This window comes from Homo sapiens, chromosome 1 (genome assembly GCF_000001405.40).
Source record: "Homo sapiens chromosome 1, GRCh38.p14 Primary Assembly".
Taxonomy (NCBI): Eukaryota; Metazoa; Chordata; class Mammalia; order Primates; family Hominidae; genus Homo; species Homo sapiens.
Window position 1 is genome coordinate 20,242,617 of NC_000001.11, and position 24,546 is coordinate 20,267,162.

General features: G+C 45.6%; 1 long non-coding RNA gene across 1 annotated transcript, besides 3 other annotated features; it reads left to right on the plus strand.

Moving 5' to 3' along the window:
• The first annotated feature begins 478 nt into the window (after window positions 1–478).
• Window positions 479–2,039, plus strand: LINC01757 (long intergenic non-protein coding RNA 1757). Its single transcript, NR_147205.1, has 2 exons — window positions 479–598; window positions 1,680–2,039. It is a non-coding gene; the product is annotated as a long intergenic non-protein coding RNA 1757 (long non-coding RNA).
• Window positions 6,449–6,558: an enhancer, noted in NCBI's record as "active region_318". NCBI's record gives its function as "activates an Ori minimal core promoter by ATAC-STARR-seq in GM12878 lymphoblastoid cells {active_cell/tissue: GM12878}" and the evidence as "EXISTENCE:reporter gene assay evidence [ECO:0000049][PMID:35858748]".
• Window positions 6,589–6,648: an enhancer, noted in NCBI's record as "active region_319". NCBI's record gives its function as "activates an Ori minimal core promoter by ATAC-STARR-seq in GM12878 lymphoblastoid cells {active_cell/tissue: GM12878}" and the evidence as "EXISTENCE:reporter gene assay evidence [ECO:0000049][PMID:35858748]".
• Window positions 23,120–24,319: an enhancer, noted in NCBI's record as "MED14-independent group 3 enhancer chr1:20592229-20593428 (GRCh37/hg19 assembly coordinates)". NCBI's record gives its function as "activates an origin of replication core promoter dependent on BRD2, BRD4, P300/CBP and CDK7 cofactors, and independent of MED14, by STARR-seq in HCT116 cells {active_cell/tissue: HCT116}" and the evidence as "EXISTENCE:reporter gene assay evidence [ECO:0000049][PMID:35650434]".

Consider the following 24,546-nt stretch of genomic DNA (forward strand, 5'->3'; position numbering starts at 1 on the left):
AAAGCTAGCTACATATAAGGCTCAGTCTTTCATAAGAGGTCACATTTATATCATGCTTAAAAGCGTGCCGATGGCTTTCACTTTCATCATCTCATTCGATTTCCCCACAATAATCTTGTGAATAAGAAGCACTTAACACAGTGCCCATTAAGAGTGCAATCAAAGGCCGGGCAGGAACCGGTCATCCCATTTCACAGATGAGAAATATAGGTTCAGAGAAATAAAAGTAAGCGACTGAAGCTCTCTCCAGGGATCCCAGAGGGGACAGGGCTCAGTCTGCCCATCTGTGAAATGTGTGCGTGGGTTGAGATGATTATCTCTGAGGTGTGGTGCATTCCATGACCTCCGAGAAGCTCTACACGGCCACCCGCGGGCCCCAGGGCGTCAGCCGTTCCTACACCCCGGGCCCTCTCGGGGACCGAGTTTCCCAGACTGCTCTTGGTCCCTCCGCTCCCACCCTCCTCGCTACCCCCGTCCTCCGCCCTGCCCCGTGAACCCTCTCCGCTGCCGCCTCCCCTCGCCCACCTCGACGGCCATGTTCGTGGGTGGGGAGAGGCCAGCCCGACCCTCGGACGGCGGGACTCGCGGGCTACTTTAGGTGGGCGCGGACCTGGGGCTCTAGCACTGACTAAGTCACTGCACCTGCGCAAGAGTCTCCGCCACTCTTGTCCGGGTGGGAATCAAACTCTAGCGCCGCCCTTCAGGGCGCTGAGGATTTGTTTCTAGATCTCACTCCCGAGGCTACCCAGGGCCTTTCTCTCTAACCCTCAGGAGGAAGAGCAAGCTCCATAACAGACAGAAGTTTAAATTGTCATTCCCAACTGCTAATCAGGAAGCGGAAGTTAAACTCTTAGCAAAATGGCAGCACCTGGAAAGACAAATGGAGCCAAACTACCTGGGTTCAAATCCTGACTCCACCACACGCTACGTAGGCGACCTTGTCCTTTATTATAGTTTCTTCATCTATTAATATGAGGTTTGAATGTATAAATAGTTGTAAATCAACTGTACCAGAATAATGCCTGGCATACAGTAAGCATTATATAAGTGTAAATTATTATCCCAAATATTTTACTTGGCAAACATTTTATCAATACTACTCTCGAAATAGGCTTTTTGATATTGTTAACATACGATTACAAGATTTTCCCTCTCCTGTCCCCTTAATTGCCAAGAAGTGTTCTCTCCTTTACCTGAGATTTTACCATCCCTCTCAATCTGCTGACCATAAGCCATTTTTCCAAAGGGGGTGTCTGTCTTAGGTTGTACTTGTATATAAAAGAAAACTTATAATTTTGATGTGTTAAGAAACTGAAATGTAGTTGTCACTCAACATTTGACTAGTGGGGGCTCTCTCAATATTTCACTACTTAGTACAAATATTTCAATTAACAAAAAAGCCCTACTTTCATTTCTGAATCTGTGGTCTTACTTTCCATAAAACCTGTAGTAGATTGCAAAAACAAAACACTTCTATTCCTGTATGCATTTCCCTTTGCAACATGTGTTAACTGTATTTCTCATCAAGAGATGAAGTCTATTTCTCTACCCTCTTGAGTCTGGGTTGGCTTCGTAACATGCTTTGACAAATAGAATGCAACAGAAGTCCCACTGTGGAATTTCTGAGCCTAGACCTCAGAGGCTTTGTAACTTCCACCTTCTTTTTTTCTTGTTGGTAGGGTTACCAATGATCCTGATCTGCCCAAGGCTGAGGAGTTTCCCAGGATATGGGACTTTCACTGCTAAAACCAGGATAGTCCCATGCAAAGCAGCATGGCTGATCACCCTACTTGCTGCCATGAGACTACCACCATCCTCGAGGATGATAGATCCCAAGGAGAGAGTGACCCAGTCAACATCCAGCCCCATCAGCATGTGACTTATCCAGCCCCAGTCCAGTCACCAGATAATAGCAAATGCATGAGTTAATTCAGGTGAGACCATCAGAACGATCTAGCTGAACTTGTCTCAAATTGCTGTCCTCTGTTGGAGTTTTTCTGCACATAAAAAATAAAATTGCTGTCCTACATAACTGTAAACAAGCAAAATGGTTGTTTTTATAAACCACCTAGTTTTGGAGTTGTTTGTTATATAGCAGTAGATAACTGTTACAATACTGCAACCCTTTAACTACAGGGAATTATGCTTAAAACCTAAGGAGTAGACTCCAATTTTAAGACAATAAAGCCCAGCCCTCCCTCACCACTTGTTCATTTCTTAGACTCAAAGAATATTGGTTGAGTGCTTACTGTGTACTAGGAACTGTATCATGGGCTTAGCATCCACTACTGAACAAGACAGGTAAGTACTCTGCCCTCAAAAATCTTATCCAGTTTGGGATACAGATATTAAATGAATAATTATAAGTTACGGGGTGCTTTAAAAATAAATGGGACTGAATAGAAGTGAAGGAGTGTAAAAAAAGCAAGTCTTTTTTAAAAAAGAAGTGGCATTTAAACTCAGTTCTGAAGTAGGAGTTATCCAGGTGAAAATTGGGCTGAAGTGTGTTCCAGGCAGAGAGAGCAGCATATGGGAAAGCTGTGGACTAGGAAGGCTCTTGATGAGGAGGGACAAAGTAGCTGGAGTTTAGGAGCTAGGAAAAAAGAGGCAGAAAGTGAAACTAGAGATGCAGGCAGAAGCCCAATCCTGCAGAATCTTATAGGCACAGTGAGGTTAAAATGCACCTATCTGGCATCCATCTTTTCAAAATATGTCCAGCTCCATCTGCTTTTTCTTAAAGACATCTTATGAGGCAACTGTGCTATATGGAAAGATTGATAAACTGGAAGATAGAATGCTGTATTTGTTCATTTTGTGCTTCTGTAACAGAATACCACAGCCTGGGGAACTTATAATAAACAGAAAGGTATTGGCTCACAGTTCTGTAGACTAGGAAGTCCAATATTAAAGTGCTGACGTCTGTCAAGGGCCTTCTTGCTGCATCATAACATGGTGGAAGATCAAGGAGAGGGCGAGAGACAGCAAGAGGGGGCAAACCCACTCCCTCAATAACAAACCTATTCCCATGATAACAACATTAGTCCATCCATGAGAGTGGATCCCTCATGACCTAAACCACCTCTTAGAAATTCCACCTCCCAATACTTTCAAAATGGCAATTAAATTTCAACATGAATTTTGAAGAAGACAAACATTTAAACCATAGCAAGTCCCTAAATCCATTTCAGCAAATAATTAAATTTCACCAACCTAGGTTTTCTTATCTATCAAAGGAAATAATAATCCCTATACACTACAATATATATTTCAGGCATGGGATGGGTACAAAGTGAGTGAGTATGGGAAGGAACACTATAAAATGACAAGTGTTCTATAAATATAAGGGCTATGATATTGAGGTGCTGATAGGCCCACACCCCATGTTTTTGGTCACATATTGTGTTTGGTTCCACCTATCCTAGTAAGAATCATAGATGATTTCATCATTCCTTTTGCTGTGCCCATGGATTCTCCCCATCCCAGATAAATAAATTTTGCCCTACTTTCTTACTGAACCAACTGATAATTAACACTCTAACTTCTGTGTTGCACTTTTTAAAGCGTTGTTTAGCATTAAGTGTTTCATCGTCTGATTATGCGTTCATTCAACAAATATTTTTTGTGCATCTACAACTGCGTCAGGCACAATCCTAGATATGGAGGATATGATCATGAACAAGACAAAGTCCCTGCTCTCTAATAGAAGAGACAGATACCAAAAAAAAAAAAAAAAAATTCTGTAAATGTAATGGCAAGCAGTGACAAATGTTATGAGGAAACAAAAAGCTCAACAGGAAAACAGGGAGTGATGGGGTGAAATATTGTTCATTTCAAACAATAGTGTTATGAATGAACTAATTACCAAGGAAGAAAAATTGTAGTCAGTGTCCAAGGTTTAAGAGAAGCCAAGAAGCTGTTATTTCAGCACCTCTGTCATTAGTTCAGCTCTTTCATACACCAAAGATATTGGTCGTTTATTGTGATGTGGGGCATTGCTCTGGTAGGGTGAGAGGAGACAAGATAAAAATCATCAACTTTTCTTCAAAGGGATCACTATAGTTGGGAACATCACGAAAATGCACAATGCTACAGGACATTAATTTTGCTCAGTGCCATGCGAAAGGCAGATACCTGTATCCTTTCCTTGCCCGTCTCTCCCACCATGCCTGGTCACCCTTGGCTCTCTATATGCTCACCCCTAGGAACTCCTGATTTTTTTCACTTTCTCTCTTAAAAGTTCATGTCCTTCCTGTTTCAGGACTTTTGCTCATTTTGCTCCCTCAGCCTGAAATGCTCCTCATCTCTTCCTTTACCAACTTAATTTAGTTTTCACTGACATGCCATTTCTTTAGGGAACCCTGCCATAGGCTGTTCAGACTAAGTCAGTGTAACAGTTAACTATAAACAAGAATGCTGCGTAACAAATAGCCACAAAAATCTCAGCAACTGACAACTTAAGCATTAATGAACTCCCAAATGTGCAGTTTAGCTAGAGGAGCTGGCCTGGATTGGGATTGGCTGGGCAGTTCTGCTAACCTTGGCTGGCCTCTCTCATTCATCTTCAGGGATGAGGAGCCAATCGGGGCTCCTAGGCTTCACTTAGCTAAGGCAGTTCAGCTGGGATGGGTCTGCTCCACAGGTCTCTCATCATCCTCATGAGACTAGCAGGCCAACCAAGGCATGTTTTCAAGGTGATGGCAGAGGAGCAAGAGGGCAAGTGGGAACACACTAAGACCTGTCAAGGCCCATGCTTAGAATTAGCTCACTGTCACCTCCACTTCATCTTACTGGCCAAAGCCAGTAACATGGCCAAGCCCAAAGTCAAGGGGTTGTGGAAATATACTTTGATGTTATGGAAGAAACTTCAAAGTCACATGACAAGTTTGAGAATGCAAGGAGAGGTAAAGAATAGGAGCAGAAAATGCATTTTACCATAATCAAATTCCCCTTCCCACCATCTCCAAGCACCCTAAACTTCTTCATGGGGCTTGCCACACTTAAAATCATGTTACAGGGTAAGAATTTATTTGTTTGATGTTTTATTTTCTCACTAAATAATGAACTCCACAAGTGTAGAGAATAAGTTAAGATTGTTTATTTCTAACATGGCATCTAACACTGCACTTGGCACATAATAGGTGCTCAGTTTATATTCATTGATTGAATGAATGAATGGCAGAAGCATTAATGGGAGGCATTCACAGGAAGGAGAAATAATTTCTGCATGAGTTAAGCAAAGCTGGCTTCTTGGAGGAAGGGGCTATGAGTTAAGGATTAAGTGCATTTCTCTTCAGCTCACTTTACTCCCTCTGACTGGTTTCGAAGCAGAGACTGGAGTTTACATCTCTTTATTCCAAACAGCAGGAGGCTTGCTACTTCCCCTACCCTCCCTTTGTGGGTGGTGGCGAGGCCTTTGGGAGGGTCCAGATGGTGACTGAGGATGCCCTGGACTGAAGCTGCAAAATCTTTGGATTCTCCATTCATGCCCTCTCCGGTTGCCACTTCACCTTCAGCATCCCAGTCCTGCAATCCTTTCTCCACGTGGCAAGCAAATTGATTTTGTGAAAAACTTGGTATCAAAAGTGGCTTCCCATTTTCCCTAGGATTATGTCTGAAGTCCAGGCAGGTGTCAGAACCATTCAAACCAGAGCAACTCCATCTTAAATAGGAGCTGGGTAAAATAAGGCTAAGACTTACCGGGCTGCATTCCCAGATGGTTAAGGCATTCTAAGTCACAGGATAAATTAGGAGGTCAGCACAAGACACAGGTCATAAAGACCTTTCTGATAAAACAGGTTGCAGCAAAGAAGCTGGCTAAAACCCACCAAAACCAAGATGGCCACTACAGTGACCTCTGATGTTCCTCACTGTTACACTCCCATCAGCACCATGACAGTTTACAAATGCCATGGCAACATCAAGAAGTTACCCTATATGGTCTAAAAAGGGGAGGCAGGGAGGGGAACATCATATACTGGGGCTTGTTGAGGGGGTTGGGGGGTGGGTAGGAGAGGGACAGCATTAGGAGAAATACCTAATGTAGATGATGGGTTGATGGGTGCAGCAAACCAGCATGGCACAGGTATACCTGTGTAACAAACCTGCATGTTCTTGCACATGTATCTCAGAACTTAAAGTATAATCGAAAAAAAGTAAAAAAATAAAATAAAATAAAAGGGGAGGCATGAATAATCCACCCCTTGTTTAGCACATCATCAATAAATAACCATAAAAATGGGCAACCAGTAGCCCTCGGGCCTGCTCTGTCTATGGAGTAGCCATTCTGTATTCCTTTACTTTCCTAGTAAACTTGCTTTCACTTTACCCTATGGACTTGCCCTGAATTATTTCTTGTGCAGGATCCAAGAACCCTCTCTTGGGGTCTGAATCAGGCTCCCTTTCCTGTAACAAAGGCATGGCCTACAGCAGCCTCAGCAACTTCAGGCATGGCACGTCCACCTCCCTCTTAGGCCTCATCTCTTTTTCTGTGCCCTGCCTTTCACCATGTAAGTGCCAGCAATACTATACTACTTTCAATTTCTAGAAAACGCCAAGCCATTTCCTGCCTGGGCCTTTGTTCACACAGCCTCCTCTGCGTAGAACACCCTGCTCCACTTTCCCCACCCTCACCACTGGCTTCTAAGGCTCTACTTATTCATTATATCCTCTGGAAAGTTTTGCCTGACATCTCTAGAAAATTGGTCTTCCCCTCCTTCATTTCCACCTCTCAGACTTCTATTATAGCACATGAAGTACTGTTTAAGAGTATTCATTTCTATGATGAAGTGGTTAAGATGAGAAATTTCAAATGTCAGCTGTGCCACTTGCTTGTGTTAGATGACAGCCTTTTCTTCACAACATATTGGTTAAATAGGTTAAAAGCACTCGGAACATTGCTGGCACAGGGTGAGTGGTCATTAAGTGTCAGCTATTTTCTTTTCTCTTCTTCCTTCCTTGTCAACATGTTTCCTTTCTTGCCTAGGCTGCTAGGAACCTCTGAGAAAATAATAGGGATAGTCAACACATCTATAATCACCTCCCTGGTTAGGGGGTGCTTTCTGTCCAGAAAGGGAACAGACATTAAATCAATAATTTTTACAACTAAGCAGTGAACTACAATGTTGATGGCCACTGTGAGTAAGGAGTATAGGTGCTTTGAAAACATATAGATTGGGAAAATTAAACTGTGTGAGGGGTGGTGTGGTAGGCAGAGTAACAGCCCCCAAAAAAGTCCCTGTACAAATGCCAGAACCTGTGCATAAATCATCTTACATGGCACAAGGGACTTTGCAGATGTGATTAAATTGAGGATCTTGGGATAGGGAGGTGACTCTGGATTACCACGGTGGGTCCTTATGTAACCACAGGGGTCCTTGTACATGAAAGACGGAGGCAGGAGCATCCATGTCAGAGTGAGGGGACATGAGAAAGATTTGACTGGCCACTGTGGCTTTGAAGATGGAAGAAGGGACCATGAGCTAAGGAATCAGCAGCCTCTAGAAGCTGAAAAAGGCAGAGATGGCTTCTTCCCTAGAGCCTGCAGAGGAAGTGCAGCTTTGCCGATGGACGCCGTGATTGTAGCCTTAGTGAGACCCATTTTACACTTGTGAGCTCCAGAACTGATAATAAATAGAAGATAATAAATGTGCATTGTTTTCAGTCACCGAATTTGAGGTCATTTGTTACAGAAATTGTAGGAAACTAACACAGGTTGTCAGCTCAATGCATTTTTGGGAGAAAGGGAAGAAGGGAGAAAGGAAGGGAAGAGGGGAGGGAAGAGTCTAAACCTGGGGGTGCTGAACCAGTAGAAGGAGATGGTCTCTAGGGTCTGCTATAAGCTAATAGCTTCAGAGCTGTTTGTGGGAAGGAAAGCCTCTTGTCAGTCAATATTTACTCAAGGGGAGTCTTGACCTCTGTGCTGTTCCTCACGCTGCTTTATTATGAGCCACCTTTAGCCTTCATTTTAAAACACTCAAAATCAAACACACTGCTGGCCCCAGGGCTCCTGCAAACATATGGAGTTGAGATCCCCATGGACACAGGAGAAACATTTTAAATGTAGATTAATACTTTAATATGAACCCAGCTCCAGCACAGTAATCCTTCATGCCACGTAGCAAACCCCAGGGGAAGCTGTGATTGGTTTGGTGGGATCACCCAGTCATCTCTGTACACAGAGTCTGCACGGCTGCGCCCTGAACTGCCTGACGGTTAAAACAGGATGGAGCTGAGCCAAACTTTGTTTCTCAGCCTCTGCCCTAGATTCTTCTGGGTGCCTCCCTGGCCAGGCCCATGGAAGACGGGATAAAGGCAAAGTCCAAGTTCAGAGCCGACTGTCATGTGCCACAGTGTCCTGGGATGTTCATATACCCTAGCGAGGCTTGTTTGATCTGGTTTTTAAAGTTTCTCTCCAGCAAAACCAATATGATCCTCGAATTCTCTCTCTTTCTGCAACAGCAGAAGTTGCTCTCTGGATGGAAAGGCCTCATTCCTTTTTTAAAAAAAGTTTTATTTTTATTTTAAGTTCCAGGGTACATGTGCTGGATGTGCAGGTTTGTTACCTAGGTAAACATGTGCCATGGTGGTTTGCTGCACCTATCAACTCATCACCTAGATATTAAGCCTGCATTAGCTATTTTTCATAATGCTCCCCCTCCTCCCACTCCACCCCTCAAGAGGCCCCAGTGTGTGTTGTTCCCCTCCCTGTGTCCATGTGTTCGCATTGTTCAGCTCCCACTTATAAGTGAGAACATGCAATGTTTGGTTGTCTGTTCCTGCATTCGTTTGCTGAGGATAACGGCTTCTGGCTTCATCCTTGTCCCTGCAAAGAACATGATGTTGTTCATTCTTATGGCTGAATAATATTCCATGGAGTATATGTACCACATTTTCTTTATCCAGACTATCATTGATGGGCATTTGGGTTGATTCTTTGTCTTTGCTGTTGTGAATAGTGCTGCGATAAACATACACGTGCATGTTTATTTGTAATAGAATGATTTACATTTTGAGGGGTATATACCCAGTAATGGGATTGCTGGGTCAAATGGTATTTCTGGTTCTAGATCTTTGAGGAATTGCCACACTGTCTTCCACAGTGGTTGAACTAATTTACATTCCCACCAACAGTGTAAAAGCATTCCTATCTGTCAGAGGTCTAATATCCAGAATCTACGAGGAGCTTAAACAAATTTACAAGAAACAAACAACCCCATTAAAAAGTGGGCAAAGGACATGAACGGACACTTCCCAAAAGAAGCCATTCATGTGGCCAACAAACATATGAAAAAAGCTCAACATCACTGATCATTAGAGAAATGGAAATCAAAACTACAATAAGATACCATCTCATGCCAGTCAAAATGGCGATTATGAAAAACTCATTCCTTATTTTTGACCACACTGCCTCTGCCAGGAATGTTCCACCCAAATGGGGTATTCAGATGGTGATTCCTGTCTCTCCTCTGAGTATCAGCTTTCAGATCTCCTTAGAGAGGCCACCTCCATCTCTCTAGCTAAAGTCAACTCAGTGCAGTCCCTCTATTGTACACCAGGTTTATCCTTCCAGGGCTTGTCATTGTTAGAATGCTGCAGTGTATACGGATTTGTTTGTTTGTGGAGCTCTTGCTCCTGCTTCACCCGTTCCCACTAGAACATAAGCCCCTTGAAAGCAGGGACCTCTTCGCTCTTGAATGTTACTGTATCTTCAGGCCTTCAACATGTTTTGTTCCTGCCCAATAATCACATTCCCATTTCTCAACCGCCATGTTAAGGGCTGAATCGTGCCCATCCCCCCCCCCCCGCCCAATTCATATCTTGAAGTCCCAGCCTCCAGTACCTCATCATATAGCTGTATCTAGAGATAAGGTCTTTAAGGAGATAATTCAACTAAAATGAGGTCATTAGGATGGGCCCTAATCCGATATGACAAGTATCCTTAAAAGAAGAGGAAATTTGGACATAGACAAGTACAGAGGGAAGACAGTTTGATGACACAGAAAAAAGATGGCCACCTACAAGCCAAGAGAGAGGCCTGAAATAGATCCTTCTCTCACAGTGCTCAGGAGGAACCCACTCTGCTAACACATTGACCTTGGACTTCTAGCCTCCAAGAACTGTGAGAAAATCCATTTCTGTGGCTTCAGCCACCCAGTCTGTGGGACTTTGTTACAGCAGCTCCAGCAAACTCATACACATCATCACAAAGTGGACCAGGAACTTGCAAGAAAATACTCAGTGGAATGTTCATTACCTTATCCATGAACACGCTAGCAAGAAATAGATGCCACTCTCCATTTGTGTAATTTGAGTTGAGTTTAATAAAAGGACTACCTGGAAGATGTGGGCAGGGTATGGGGCAACATAGGGAGGGCGCAACACTGTGGGGGCGAGCAACATGGGGAACCAGTACCACCCTGGGCTGCCAAAGAGAAGGAAGGGGACAGTTAGCAGGAAGCCGAAGAGAAAGAACATTTTGTGGAGAGAGAGTTGCCTGGATAAAAGCTGTGGTCTTTGGAGATCAGCCAGCTTGCAGTGATGCTGCGGGGAGCGGGGGCAGGGAAATAAATACCCGCACCTGACTCTTCCCTCCCACGCCAGGCAAGGCTCACAAATGGCAGAACTCACTGACGTGGTCCACATGGTCCAGACTTCTGTGGCAGAAGCAGAGTAAAGAGGGGTGGAGAGTGGGTCTGGAGGGCTATGTGGAAGATTTCAGTATAACACCCTCTTTCCCCAACTATTGTCAAAGCACGTCTCTTCCACTTGCTAACTCCTACAGAGAAATGAAGCAAATGCACTTTCATCTTCACCTCCTGCAGGCTAGGAGTGCCATTTCTAAACAATGCTCTCGGTATTGAATTCCACTGCAGATGGCCAAATGAGTCTATTTATTGAGTTTTACCAAAGCTTTATTGATACCATGTTGGAGAAGGATAGCACAATCTCAGTCCTGCCTCACCCGGGCTAGAGAGATTGCCTTCCCTAATTATTCTCAGGCAAGAATAATCTACAAGTTTGATGTAAATAAGATGCGTCAGAAGCTCCATTTATCAATGCCCAGGAAGACTCAGAAATAGAAAGAGTGGGTGGCTAACATTTGCTGAACACCTATTAAGTGTCAGACAGTTAACTAGCTTAATCCTGGCAAGAATTATGAAGTTAGCCCAGGCTTAATGGTGTGGGGTTGTAGCCCCAGCTACTTGTGAAGCTGAGGTGGAAGGATTCCTTGAGCCCAGGAGTTTGAGACCAGCCTGGGCAACACTGCGAGACCCCTGCCTCAAAAAAAAAGAATTATGAAGAGATATTACGCCAGCTTCACAGATGAGGACTCAGGCACAGCCAGCAAGTTAGCAGAGCTGGGATTGGTGCTCTGGGGTACCTCACTCCAGTGTCTTCCTCTTGCCCCATCCCAGATGCCTTTCAAGGAAATGAAATGGCTCAAAAAAAAAAAGCTAACAAATAAGGTTAGACTCTCAGAATAATAATAATGCCAGATACATTTTGAGTAGTTACCATCTGCCTAGGTACTCCGATTTACATAAGTTATCCCATGAAAGCCTCAAAACCACCCTAAAGAAGTTTATGCTATTTTATCTCCATTTTAAAGATGAGGACCTTGAGTCTTAGAGGAGTTCAAGGACTTGGCCCAGGTAAGGCCTAGGCTCTCAATTCAAACCCCAGATAACCTGGCTTTAGAGCCCAAGTTCTTCATAAGAATTGGAACTACAGAGAATGGAATTACGATGAACAAGAATACAGGACGTGGGTGAAGAAGGGAGAACCCACGTGAGCAGAAAACCCAACCAGCTTGCTGCCTTGCACTGAGTCAGCAAAGGGAGGTGAGAATATGGCAAAAAGTGCTCAGGAAACCTTCCAGAAAGAACCTGCTCTCTTGGTGTTCGGGAAGAATACAGGAGATTAACTTGGGTTTCTCAGCCCCAGCACTACTGATATTTTGGGCTAATTTTTTTCTTTTATTTATTTATTTATATATTTATTGTTGACGGAGTCTTGCTCTGTCGCCCAGGCTGGTGTGCAACTCAGCTCACTGCAACCTCCACCTCCCAGGTTCAAGCAATTCTCCTGCCTCAGCCTCCCGAGTAGCTGGGATTACAGGCGTGTGACACCACACCCAGCTCATTTTTGTATTTTCAGTAGAGATGGGGTTTCACCATGTTGGCCAGGCTGATCTCGGACTCCTGACCTTAGGTGATCCGGCCGCCTCAGCTTCCCAAAGTGCTGGAATTACAGGCCGAGTTAATTTTTACTGGGATAATAAAATAATTATTGGAGGGATAATTTTTATGGGGGATAATTTTTATTGGATAATTTTTATGGGGGGATAATTTTTATTGGATAATTTTTATGGGGGTAATTTTTATTGGATAATTTTTATGGGGGGTAATTTTTATTGGATAATTTTTATGGGGGATAATTTTTATTGGATAATTTTTATGGGGGGTAATTTTTATTGGATAATTTTTATGGGGATAATTTTTATTGGATAATTTTTATGGGGGTAATTTTTATTGGATAATTTTTATGGGGGGTAATTTTTATTGGATAATTTTTATGGGGGATAATTTTTATTGGATAATTTTTATGGGGGGTAATTTTTATTGGATAATTTTTATGGGGGATAATTTTTATTGGATAATTTTTATGGGGGTAATTTTTATTGGATAATTTTTATGGGGGGATAATTTTTATTGGGCAGGGTTGAGGTGGTCCCGTGCACTGCAAGGTGTGGAGAAGCATCCCTGGCCTCTCCTTTCTTAGATATCAGTAGCATCTACCTGCCAGTTTGTGACAATCAAAGATGTCTATACGCTCTTTTTTGGTTGAGAACCACCGCTGTAGCTCACAACAAGGGTGCAGGGTAGGAGGGAAACTCAAGGTAGAAGCTCTTCATCTTGCAGAGCCAGAAGTAAAACCTCCAGATGGAAGGGCTGACCTCCAGAAAGAAGGCAGAACCCAGGACCAGGAAAGCCACCAAGAAGATTTTGTGGTTTGATGAAAGGACCATGGACTTCAGCACTGGATGGGCAAGACTCAAATCTAAATATGTCACTTATTGCTCTGCAGTGGGGTGGGAGGGTGGCAAATTGCTTCACCTCGCAGAGTTCCGGTTTCCCAGGCTCTCAAAAGGATATAAAAATATCTACCACACAGGGTTGTTGTGGGCACCAGCTGATGCCTCAGTGTTCTCTCAGATGATTGGTTGTCATTTCTCCTCCTCCCTCGTTTCTAAGACCAGCAAAGCCAAGTTCTGCAGCGGGGCTGTGTGACTGCTCTCCATCTTCCTGCGTACATTTCACTCAGATGAAGTCCTTTCTCGCCCTCTAAACAGCTGGCCGAGGATGAGTCACCACCACAGGAGAGCCATATCCTAGAGAATGAAAGGGGAGGGGCATTGCAGGCAGTAAAAAAGCCATTTTGTAGAAGGGCACGGAGATATAACAGAGTATGGAATATGTGGAATGGTAAATTGTCTGGAGCTCTAAAGCATGCAGAATGTCTTAATCCCAAAAACTGAGGCTGAAAGATTACATGGTAATCGGAGTTTGAAAGTTCTCACTGTTGTCTGGAGAACTCCTACTCATTTTCCAAGATCCATCCCAAAGAAGGAAAAATAGAGCTAGTTATAGGTGGATGCAAAGCATTCAGAGTGGGGTAATTCCAGGAGCTGGGGCCAACAGGGTGTTTGGGGACCAGCTTTCCAAAGGCCAAGCCCTTGCTCTGTTTCCCTGAACATTCCTGTCCCATTGTCATCCATCGCAAACGTCATCTTCTTTGTGATAGCTATTCCAGCTCCCCCAGGTAATCTACTTAATTTCACCTACTCACTTTTCTGTGCTCTGTCACTCTTCTAATGTTATCTATGTTGTACTGTAAAAGGTTGGTCCCATGACTGGCTCCTCTACAAGGCATTATGCTCCATGGTGGAAGCGGGGTGCATATATATTAGTCATCTGTATATTCTGCTCACCTAGCACAGAGCCTAGATGACAGGTATTGCCAGTGACCTGCCCAATATCCATCCTTCCCATCTTCCTTTCCAATAGAATCCCAGATGGGCAACATGCTTTATTAAAGATATTCGTGTCCCAGGCTCCCTTGAAGCTCCGATGCCATACGACCCAGTTTGGACCAGTGAGATGCAAGTTGAACTCTATAGGGTGTGCTTCTAGCAAAGCTGTTGTTTTCCTGATAAAAGGTCAGCCCCAGGGGGCTCTTTACCTTTGGCCTTCATTTCTAACCACCTTTACCCCATCTTCCCACCTAGAAGCTTAGACTCCACACATAGAGGTGGAACAGTCATCTTGAGACCATGAGGATGCAAGACACACTGGGGATAGCTGCGCAGGTGCCTGAAGGGATCCTGAGTCCTCAGGATCTCCTTGAGCAGCTGCAGCAGCCTAGGACTTCCTTCGTCTCAATGGTCATTAGATGCAAAAACCAATTCCCAGTTTGGTTAATCCACTGGCTGGGCTTCTGCTTTGTGTAGCTAAATGCTACAACTTGGCACATAACCTATGCTTAGGGAATTTTGATGACCCAGTTGAATGGTCAGCTCTCCCTCTGTGCAGCTTAGGCCACTCAGCCTCCAGTGATGCAATAAAGAGCCATAAGGGATCTGCAACTTTGATAGACTCCTTGGGTTAAAAATTCTCAGGTATTCTCTCTCTCTTTTTTTTTCCCAAGACAGAGTTCCGCTCATGTTGCCCAGGCTGGAGTGCAATGGTGCGGTCTTGGCTCACTGCAACCTCCACCTCCTGGGTTCAAGTGATTCTCTTGCCTCAGCCTCCCAAGTAGCTGGGACTACAGGCATGTGCCACCACATCTGACTAATTTTTGTATTTTTAGTGGAGATGGGGTTTCATCACGTTGGCCAGGCTGGTCTCGAACTGCTGACCTCAGGTGATCCGCCCACCTCAGCCTCCCAAAGTGCTGTGATTACAGGCGTAAGCCACCACGTCCAGTATCTCTCTATCCTCAATGCAGCAAGGACTCCAGGGCTTTCTCCTTCTGGGAACCCTTCTTTCTTAGAAGAGGCTAATTTTGGAGACCATTTCTAACTAGTTGATATACATTTTGGGGAAATCTGTGAAACTGTGGCGTGGGTAGAAGCATTGACTTTGGAATTGGTTGGACCATTTGCCTTTTCTTTCTTTCAGCGGATACATATTGATGGGATGGAGATGTGTGGGCAAAAACAGTCCTCCTTAAGGAACTTAGTCTAGTGGAAGAGCAGAGCTACACTGATGAGTGACTGATTATAAAGGGAGATAAGTAACACATAGAGAATGCCAGAGTATACAAAAGGACTCTTCTGGTGTTCAGAGAAGGCTTCCTGGAGGAGGTTTCACTTAGATTGACATCAGCAAGTGACCTGGATTCAAACCTCTATCTGTCACTTACTATTTGATATACTCCGGGCAATCATGTAACCTCTCTAGGCTTCTATTTCCACAATTGAAACACCAAATTTCTCATATTTCCCTCTCGTATTTGTGAAGCTTAAATGAAACAATGTTCATGGTGCCTGGCCCACAGGAAGCACTTCTTAGACTGTCAGTCACTCTTACGTTTTTTGTTTCAGACCAAGTTCCTGGCTTCTCCGGCCTGGGGTTGGTGTCCTCAACACCAGTGCTCAGGGTGGGTCAGACACTATTAATCTCTGCCAGTTCAAACCTGTGTAGATGGGCTCAGAAGATCATATGCTGGGGAGGATGAGAACAAAGGCTTCAGGCAACAGTAAAAGATAATTAAGTCCCCAGGGCCGACCCCAGGAAAGTCTCCATTTCCTCTGCCTTGGCCCCTTCCTGGGGTCCCTCAATTACCCCAAGATTTCACTGGAGTCAACCTAGTCAAAGGGATGGCTAGGGTAGGGAGACAGTGGGGATCACCCGTGGGATATCCTGGGGAGATCCAAAGATACTGGGCTCTGAGGGGGCTGCATAGAGCAAAATGAGCTCCTTGAACTCAGAGTGTCTCTTCCCCAGTGCTCCCACCAGGAGGGCCGCAGGGCGGGCCCACGCTCGAGGGAAATCCACTTCCCTTCTTTGACCCCCAATTCCCTTACCTGTAAAATAGGTAATTGGACTAAATTAGTGGTTCTTAAGCTTTGCTGCACATTAGAATCATCTGGGGGAAATTAACGCCCCCCACAGATACCAAGCTGCTGCCCCCCAAACCAACTAAATCAGAACCTCTAGGGTGGAAGCTGAGCATCAGCGCTGTGACTCCCTAGATGGTTCCATGTGCAGCCAGCGTTGAGAACTGGTGGCTCTGAAGGTCTTTCCAGCTGTAAGAATAGATGCTGCTTCCTGGCTGTGTGAACTCAGAGAAATGACTTTAAAACTCCATCCCTCCACTTCCTCATCAGCAAAGAAAGAGTAAGAATGATACATCCCTCATCGAGGTATCATAGGATTAAAAGGATGGATTTCTATAGAGTGCTGATAAGAGGGACTGGGCAGCATGGAAGGGCTCCAGCAGGGCAGTTGGAGGTCGCTGTTGCTGCTCTTGTTATAGCTGTTATTGTGATTATGGAGAAGAAGGAGGAAGGAGAAGAGATGGAGGTTGGGGGTGGGGAAGAAGAAGAAACTCTGTGTTAGGCCCTGAACTCTGTCCTTCTCCCCACCGTGGCCATGACCTTCGCCTCAGTCACAGCAGTAGAAGTAGGACAAGTTCTACTCTCACATAGTGAAGAACCCAGGGGACAGGTGTGCACTAGCTTTTGGGAGTGCCCCATTAGTAGGAGAGAGAATGGGTAAACCCACTCTCCTTAGTGGGGCCTTAGTGTTGCACTGCCCAGCGTCTTTGGGGAGCTACTAGAAGGAGTCTTAGACATTACCTAGTTCTAACTTTTTCTCATTTAAGCAATGAAGACTCTGAGTTACAGAGAGGTTAAGTAATTCACTCAAGGACACACAGCCTTGCACCAAGCCAGGTCTCAAGTCTAGGTTTTTAAACAAAAAAAAAAAAAAAAAAAAAAAAAAAAAAAAAAACTTCAGTCTCAAAGTCATTAAAAAAATAATAATAATACTCTGCAGCCTCCTCTCAGAGGACAAAATCCGTCAGCATTAATCAGTCTTTTTTACTTTGGCAGGGATGCCTTATCTCTTCCTTCTAAGCAGACACAGTGCCTGCAGCTGAAAGAGCAATTGTGATAATTAATAATAATATTTTGCACTTGGAATTTTCCCCTGGCAGCAGCTACTCTAAAAGCATCTCCTCATTCAGCCACACATATCAGCCAATTGACCAGTCCACAGGAGCTCCTGGAGCTTCTGCTGCTGGTTCCACAGCCCTGCACGGGGTCCTGGGAGGAACCCAGCCGCATGGGAAATGCTTCCAGCACTCAAAGAGCTTGTTCAGGGGGCCATGCAAAAGTAAACCAGACTAGAGGCTGTCACTGAGAAAGGCATCTGGACTCTGCAACATCACTCTCCTAGGCACAGTAATAAAAGTCAGATATTATAGGAGCTTCCGTTTGATTTACCATCTTATTTCCTTCATCTGGAACGATGCCTGAAGTTCATTGGCCAAGGGTAACTAGCATCCATTCGGGAATAATGCCCGAAGGCACCTACTCCAGAGGGAGGATTAAATGAGTTAAAACACGTACAGCACTTAGAACAAGGCCATGCATATGGTGAGCACCCCATAAATGCTAGCCTTTGTTGTTGTTAACTATATGCCTTGGTGTCTGCATCAGCAAGGATCCCACTGAGAAACAGATGGAGTGCCCAAAAGGTTTACCAGGAAGACAGCATAATAAAGAGACTATTTTTGAGGTGTGGGCAGGGTTAAGGGAAGCCATAAGGGATAGTGAATAGCTTTCTGGCAATAGCAGAGAACTGTTACCATTAAAGGACAAGACCTTAAGGCACAAGGGGAGGGACTAGCTGCTGGTGAGAGCTGGAGCCACAGAAGAGGGAACTCCACAGGGGCTCTGGCCACTGAAAGACCCACCGTAGCCAGACACGTAGGAGTGGGGAGGATAAAGGCCCCAATCTCTCTTTCTTCCTTCCTTGCAGTCTCCTCTTGGTACCTCCTACTGGAAGCCAAAGCCAAGGACAGATGAAGATGGGGTTTGCAGTGGCCGGCCTCTGGGGACACAGAGCAAATCCGAGAACAGCAGATGATGAATCTAGCACGGGGCAGTAAAGGTAGGGAGGAGCAAACAGTGATTAACCAAAGTTAAGCACAACCAATAATTCGACATGACGGCGATGCTTTGTTGTGACGATGCTTTGGTGTGACGATGCTTTGGTGTGACAATGCTTTGGTGTGATGATGCTTTTCATGCCATTGGCCCTGGAATGTTGCAGTTGCATTCTTACATGCCCTCCACACTCAGTTCTTTCTTAAACATTTTAATTTTTCTGGAGAATGTAGTATACCTGTTCCTTGTTCTAGAATTCTGGCCGTGGCCTTGGGCCAAATGCTTTAAAGCTTTGAAAAGGTAGACCCTAGGAAATAGGTGTGAAACTGTGGAAAAAGGTACACCCACATCTAAGCAGCCAAGGAGAGCATCCCGATAGCAAGGCAGGTTCACACCCTCACTACCTGGAACTCCTCTCACAACTCTAGTCTCTCCTCTCCAGGAAGGGAGCCTGTGTGCTGGGCATACTTCCCACTTGCTCAGCAACATAGAGGTTTCTTTCTCTTGGGCTCTGGAGTTGGACAGCCTGTGTCTGGCTCTCAGCTGTCCACACTCAGAGGCTCTGTGCATTTCGGCGAGTCACTCAGCCTCATCTGAAAATGGGGATAGTAATTGTCCTAACCTCATAGGGGCATTGTGAAAACTCCATGAGACCATGCGCGTAAAGCACTCAGCATAATGTCTGGCACATAGCAGGTGCTCCATAAATGTCAGCTCTCATTACACCCCACTGACTGTTAGTTCCTTGAGGTCAGAGGTCATGACTTTTTAACTCTGGACCTCAGTATGAAGGACAGTGCTTGACACATACCTAGTAATAATTGTTGTACAAAGTAGGACAATCATTCCTATTTTCCCAGTGAGGAACCTGAGGCTCATGGAAGTTGTTTGCGTTGCTCAAGGCCACAGAGTTGTTAGAACCAGAGCTAGGATTTAAACCCATGTGGGTCTGATTCTAAAGCTGCATCTTCTACGTGGGTGGTTCTCAAATTCTAGCAAGCATCAGAGTCACCTCGGGGGCTTGTTAAAACATTGTCCATGTTTCTTATTCAGCAGATCTGTGGGCCCAAGTGTCTGTATTTCTAACAGATTTCCAGGTGACATGGATGGAGCTGGTCTGGGGACCACACTTTGAGAACTCCTGGTCTACACTCTCAGCCTCCCAGTCAGTGTCCATCTCCTCTGTGAAGCCTGCTCGGACTTCTTCAGTCTCCCACCAAACATCTGCACCATCCAGTTCCAACCCGAGCCCATAATCCTATCTCACCTTCCAGGCGAGGTCCTAAAGGTTGTCTGAGCTTTCCCACAGGACTGGCAGCTCCTAGTGGTCAAGAGCCCTGCACAGCATTGCCCCCGCACCCCGTTAGAGACCACCTATCATCTTTCCTTCCCTTCTCCACCCTCCCGCTGGGGCAATCTTGCTGTTCCATGCCTATCTGTATTCACACAAACATATACACACTTGCAGCTTTTCCCTTTTTTAAAAACGAAAAAAGTTTATACTATACAATTTCTCTATCCCTTCCTTCCTTATTTCCTTCCTTACCTCCTTATTTCTTCCTTCCCTTCCTTTCGTTTCTTTCCTTCCTTCCTTCCTTCCTTCCTTCCTTCCTTCCTTCCTTCCTTCATTCTTTCCTTCCTTCCAGTTTTACCCTTCTGGAAGAAAATTTCTTCCCCATTCTTTTTTTTTGTTCTCTTTCCTTTTTTTTTTTTGAGATGGAGTCTCACTTTGTTGCCCAGGCTAGAGTGCAGTGGTGCGATCTCAGCTCACTGCACCCTCCGCCTCCTGGGTTCAAGCAATTCTCCTGTCTCAGCCTCCTGAGTAGCTGAGATTACAGGCACGCACTACCATGCCCCGCTAAGTTTTGTATTTTTCACAGAGATGAGGTTTCACCATGTTGACCAGGCTGGTCTTGAACTCCTGGCCTCAAGTGATCTGCCTGCCTCAGCCTTCCAAAGTGCTGGGATTACAGGTGTGAACCACCGTGCCCAGCCTCTTCCTCACTCTTGATGAGTCCTCCAGGAGCCGAGCTATCATGACTCTGCTGACTGTCTCACCCCCCACGTGCCCTCCCCTCTGAGTGACCTATCTCATTGGTGAGTCTGGGCTAAGGAACTGAGTGGCAGTAGCCCAGGCCCTTCCTCCCCACTGTCTCTTGGGTATGAGCTGCCCACGGGGAGCCAGGTTCTGTTTGGCTCTTCCAGTCCCTGCCACGGCCCAATGCTGCCTACACCCGGGTGGGCGAGTCTGCCTATTCTGAGTACAACATAAGGCAACCCACTTCCCCACAGAGCACCATCTCTCCCAGAGCAGCTTTATCTTTAGTGAAGGTGATATTTGGGGCTCCATCTGCCTTTCTCTGGTGCTTATTTCTCAGTTGGTTCAGAATGTGGGTGGGGAAAGAGGGTTATTGTTTATCAGCACTTACAATATATCACATACCTAAAGACCTGGCTCATTTTAAGCCACTGATTCTGTTGGGATGCTTTTGGTGGCACATAACAGACGGTCCAACTAAAAGTAGCTTGGACAATAAGGGGGCTGTTCTCTCATATGGTAAAAATTCTGTGGGCAGATCTCTCCACCCACCTCCTGATCTTAGACTCATTTCCTTCCTCAACTCCTGGCCCAGCTCTGGGTCAATTTTCCCATCACTATGCCTGCTGTAACGGGAGAAAGGGGACAGGAGAAGGTGCACCACCAGGGCCCAATATCTGCTGTGCTACTTCTATCTGTGGGTCCTTGGCCAAGTGATCTAAATGCTCTGACCCTCAATTCCATCCTCTGTGACATGAAAATAACAAGATCTTCCTGCTAAGAGTGCGGTAGAGATGAAATTAAATCATCAAGAGTGCCTAGCACAGTCCTTGACACATAGCAGGACTCAGTACTCGGTAGTTCATGCCCCATTTCCCCTCCTATGACCTTCTCAGTGAAGAAGAAAAACTTAAATCGTCCACTTTAGTGCTTAGAAATGCTTTGATTTATGCCTTAGCTGTGTGTGTGTGTTGCTCTTTGTAAATGGGAAGCCACCCTCATGTACCTGTGCTTTCAACCAGGTCCCAGGCAGTAGGGAACGAGTTTCTCCCATTAGCCACTCCCTGACCTATTTCCCTTTGAGACAGGAGATATTCTTGGGGCTAAAAGTGCAGCTCCTAAGGCACAAAACAGCATTTCTCTCTTGAGGCCACCTGCTGATACAGATGCAATAGGCACCAAACAGACACCCCGTATGAGTCCGCTAGGACTGCTGTAACAAAATACCACAAACTGAGTGGCTTAAACAACAGACATTTATTGTCTCACAGTTCTGGAGGTGGAAGTCCAAGATCAGGGTGTTGGCATGGCCATGCTCCCTCCGAAGGCACCGGGGAAGGATCTGTTCCACGCCGCTCCCCCTGGAACACGTGGTAGCTCCTTAGCACATGGCAGCATCACGCCAATGTGCACATGGCATTCTTCCTGAGCATACATCTTTGTGTCTAAATCTCTCCTTTTCATAAGGACCCCTGCCATATTGGATTAGGGGCCCATCCTACTCCAGCATGACCTCATTTTAACTAAATACATCTGCAGTGATCCTATTTCCAAACAAGGTCACATTCTGAGGTGCTGAGCATTAGGACTTGGACATAGGAATTTGGGGATACGTTCCAACCCATAACATACCCCATGCTTAGCCATAGTATCTCTCAAACACATCACCCTCTTCCCTCTCTCTGTTCTTGCTCATGGGTTCCCTTGACCTGAGATGTCCTTTCCCTTCCATCTCTGTCAACATTCTACCCATCCTTTAAGGCCTACTCAAACACCACCTCCTCCATGCAGTCTTCCTTCAACCATCTGGTCAGAAACAGTCTCTCTGTTCTTTGCCTTCTCTGACATTCTCTTTGTGCCCTCATTATAGTGCTGTTCTGAAGTCAGCCCCACACTTGATTTAGTTGTGAGATGGTGTGTCCAGGGGCAGAGCCCAGATCAGCCACCTTCCAGCTATGTGGTCTAGGACCTCCTTACTCAAGTGTGGCTCATGACCCGCAGCATCCATATCGCCTGATTAGAAATGCAGAATCTCAGGCCCCACCACAGCCCTACTGAAGCTGAACAATCTAGAGTTTATCAAGGTCTTCAGGTATTTCATAGGCACACTACAGTGTGAGAAGCACTGGTCTAGCACAAGTTACTTATTTGAGCCTCAGTACTCTAACCTGTAAAGTGGGGATGGTGATAGTACCTGCCTCATAGAATTGTTAGAGGAATAATCGAGAAAATGTGTGTACAGTGCTTAACACAGCACCTGCAGCAGGATAAGTAACTACTAAATAATGGCAGTTATTATTAGTATTAATATACATTCTTAAAGAGCAAAGATCAAGATTAAATAAAAGAATGCAAATAAAGCTTTCAGAATAACCTCGCTAGGCCCTCAACAGGGGAGAGCTGTTGTTCATCTTAATGACTCTCTCCTGTTTTTCCTACCCACCCCATCTCGGGCTGGTGCCTTGCTAAAGTGTTTATTGGTGTTTATTGAGAAGAAGACAGTGGCCAAGTTAACAGGCCCATATGGAGAGGGAGCCCTGGGCCTCATCAGCGCTAATTGCATTCTCTGGCCAATGCCAAGGCCCTCCTCCCAGGCAGCTGCCCCTTGCCCCAGTTCCACTCCCAGCCAAGAGCCCTGGACACGCATACACAAGAGTTTCCTATCTTCATTCACCTCCTGCAGTGTCCACAGCAGAAAGAGAGAGAGAGAGAACATGCTGGAATTGTCACTGAGAGTGTAGAGAGGTTGTGGAATGTGATTCTGGAACATGAGACACTGAGTTTCTGCCGGGAAGGGAAGGGACAGGCATGTCAGGGCTGCCCACTCTGTGCTGGGATCCTCTTGGACCTTTGCAAGTTCCTTGTCTCATTTTTTCCTCACTACAAAGTCCCTAAGAAGCCATTATTTTTCTTTTCATTTTGTAGATGAGGAAACAGAGGCATATAGAGATTGAAGAGCTTATGTGAGCTCACCAGGCTGGTCAGTGACAGAGTTGGGATTCCAATCTGTGTCTCTCTGATCCTAAACCAGCTACCCTGAGACAGATGGGAAGAAAGGGGAAATGGGAAGACCTTCAAAACCCCTACTGCCCAGTTCTCTTCAGAGCAGAATAAAGACTAGCATAGAGAAGAAGGCTGCCACACAGGTGAGGACCACAGAGGAACCTTCTGGAGCAATCTAGAAGGAGGGTGTGTTTGAGCTGGGAGGAATTTCTGTTTTTATTTTATTTAATTTTTGAGATGGAGTCTTGCTTTGTCACCTAGGCTGGAGTGCAGTGGTGCGATCTCGGCTCATTGCAACCTCCACCTCCCAAGTTCAAGCAATTCTCCTGCCTCAGCCTCCCAAATAGCTGGGACTACATGTATGCACCACTGTGCCCTGCTAATTTTTGTATTTTTTAGTAGAGATGGGGTTTCACCATGTTGGCCAGTTTGTGTCTCGAACTCCTGACCTCAGGTGATCCACCCACCTCGGCCTCCCAAAGTGCTGGGATTACAGTCATGAGGCACCGCACGTGGGCTCAAGCTGGGAGGAATCTTGGTGAGCATCCAATTCAGCCTTCCCGTGGCCACTCCTCCCACAGACAGGCAAACGGAGGCCTGGGGGTTTCAGTGGGCCTTGTATTAGCAACATAAGGAAAATGCACATTTATTGAGTCCTGCACTAGGTGCTGTCGCGAGTGTCTCATCCCCTCCTTTGGAGGCTGCATGAGCTCACCAGCCCATGACAATCCCTATCAGCTGCCATTCCAAATCTTTTTGGGAATTAGGTGGGGAACACATGTTTCAAAAACTCTTATCACTCCCATTTTACAGATAAAGCAACCGAGACTCAGAGCGGTGAGGTGACTTTCCCAGGGCCTCAGAACCAGTGAACAGCAGGGCCAGGATCAAAACCCAGCCCTGCCTGATCCTGAAGCCCGAGATTCCTGCCACTGCCCCACTTAAGAGAAGGAGTCTCAGAGAAAGAACACAGATGGAGGCTGCTCTCTTCTGCCCCCTGTAACCACAGCACAGCTTGTCCCAGGGGGTGGGGGACAAGAGTTCCTTTTCCCAAAGCACAGCAGGCACAACCCTACGATATTAGGAGGTGGGCAGAAGTCCAGTCTAGAGGCCCCCGCTCAGTGGGAGCCTCTGACACCTACTCACCATTGCCAGAGGTAGAATATTCCAGACATCTCCAACTCTGAGCCCAGGGGCCCCTGATTCGGCCAGGCCTTGCTTTCCACTGTTCCTGTCCACTCTCTCCAGCCACGTTTGTCTCCCCAATACTCACCTCTGTAAGCACCCTGTTTATAGCTGCATTCCTTTGATCGCCGCATCCTTTTTCCTC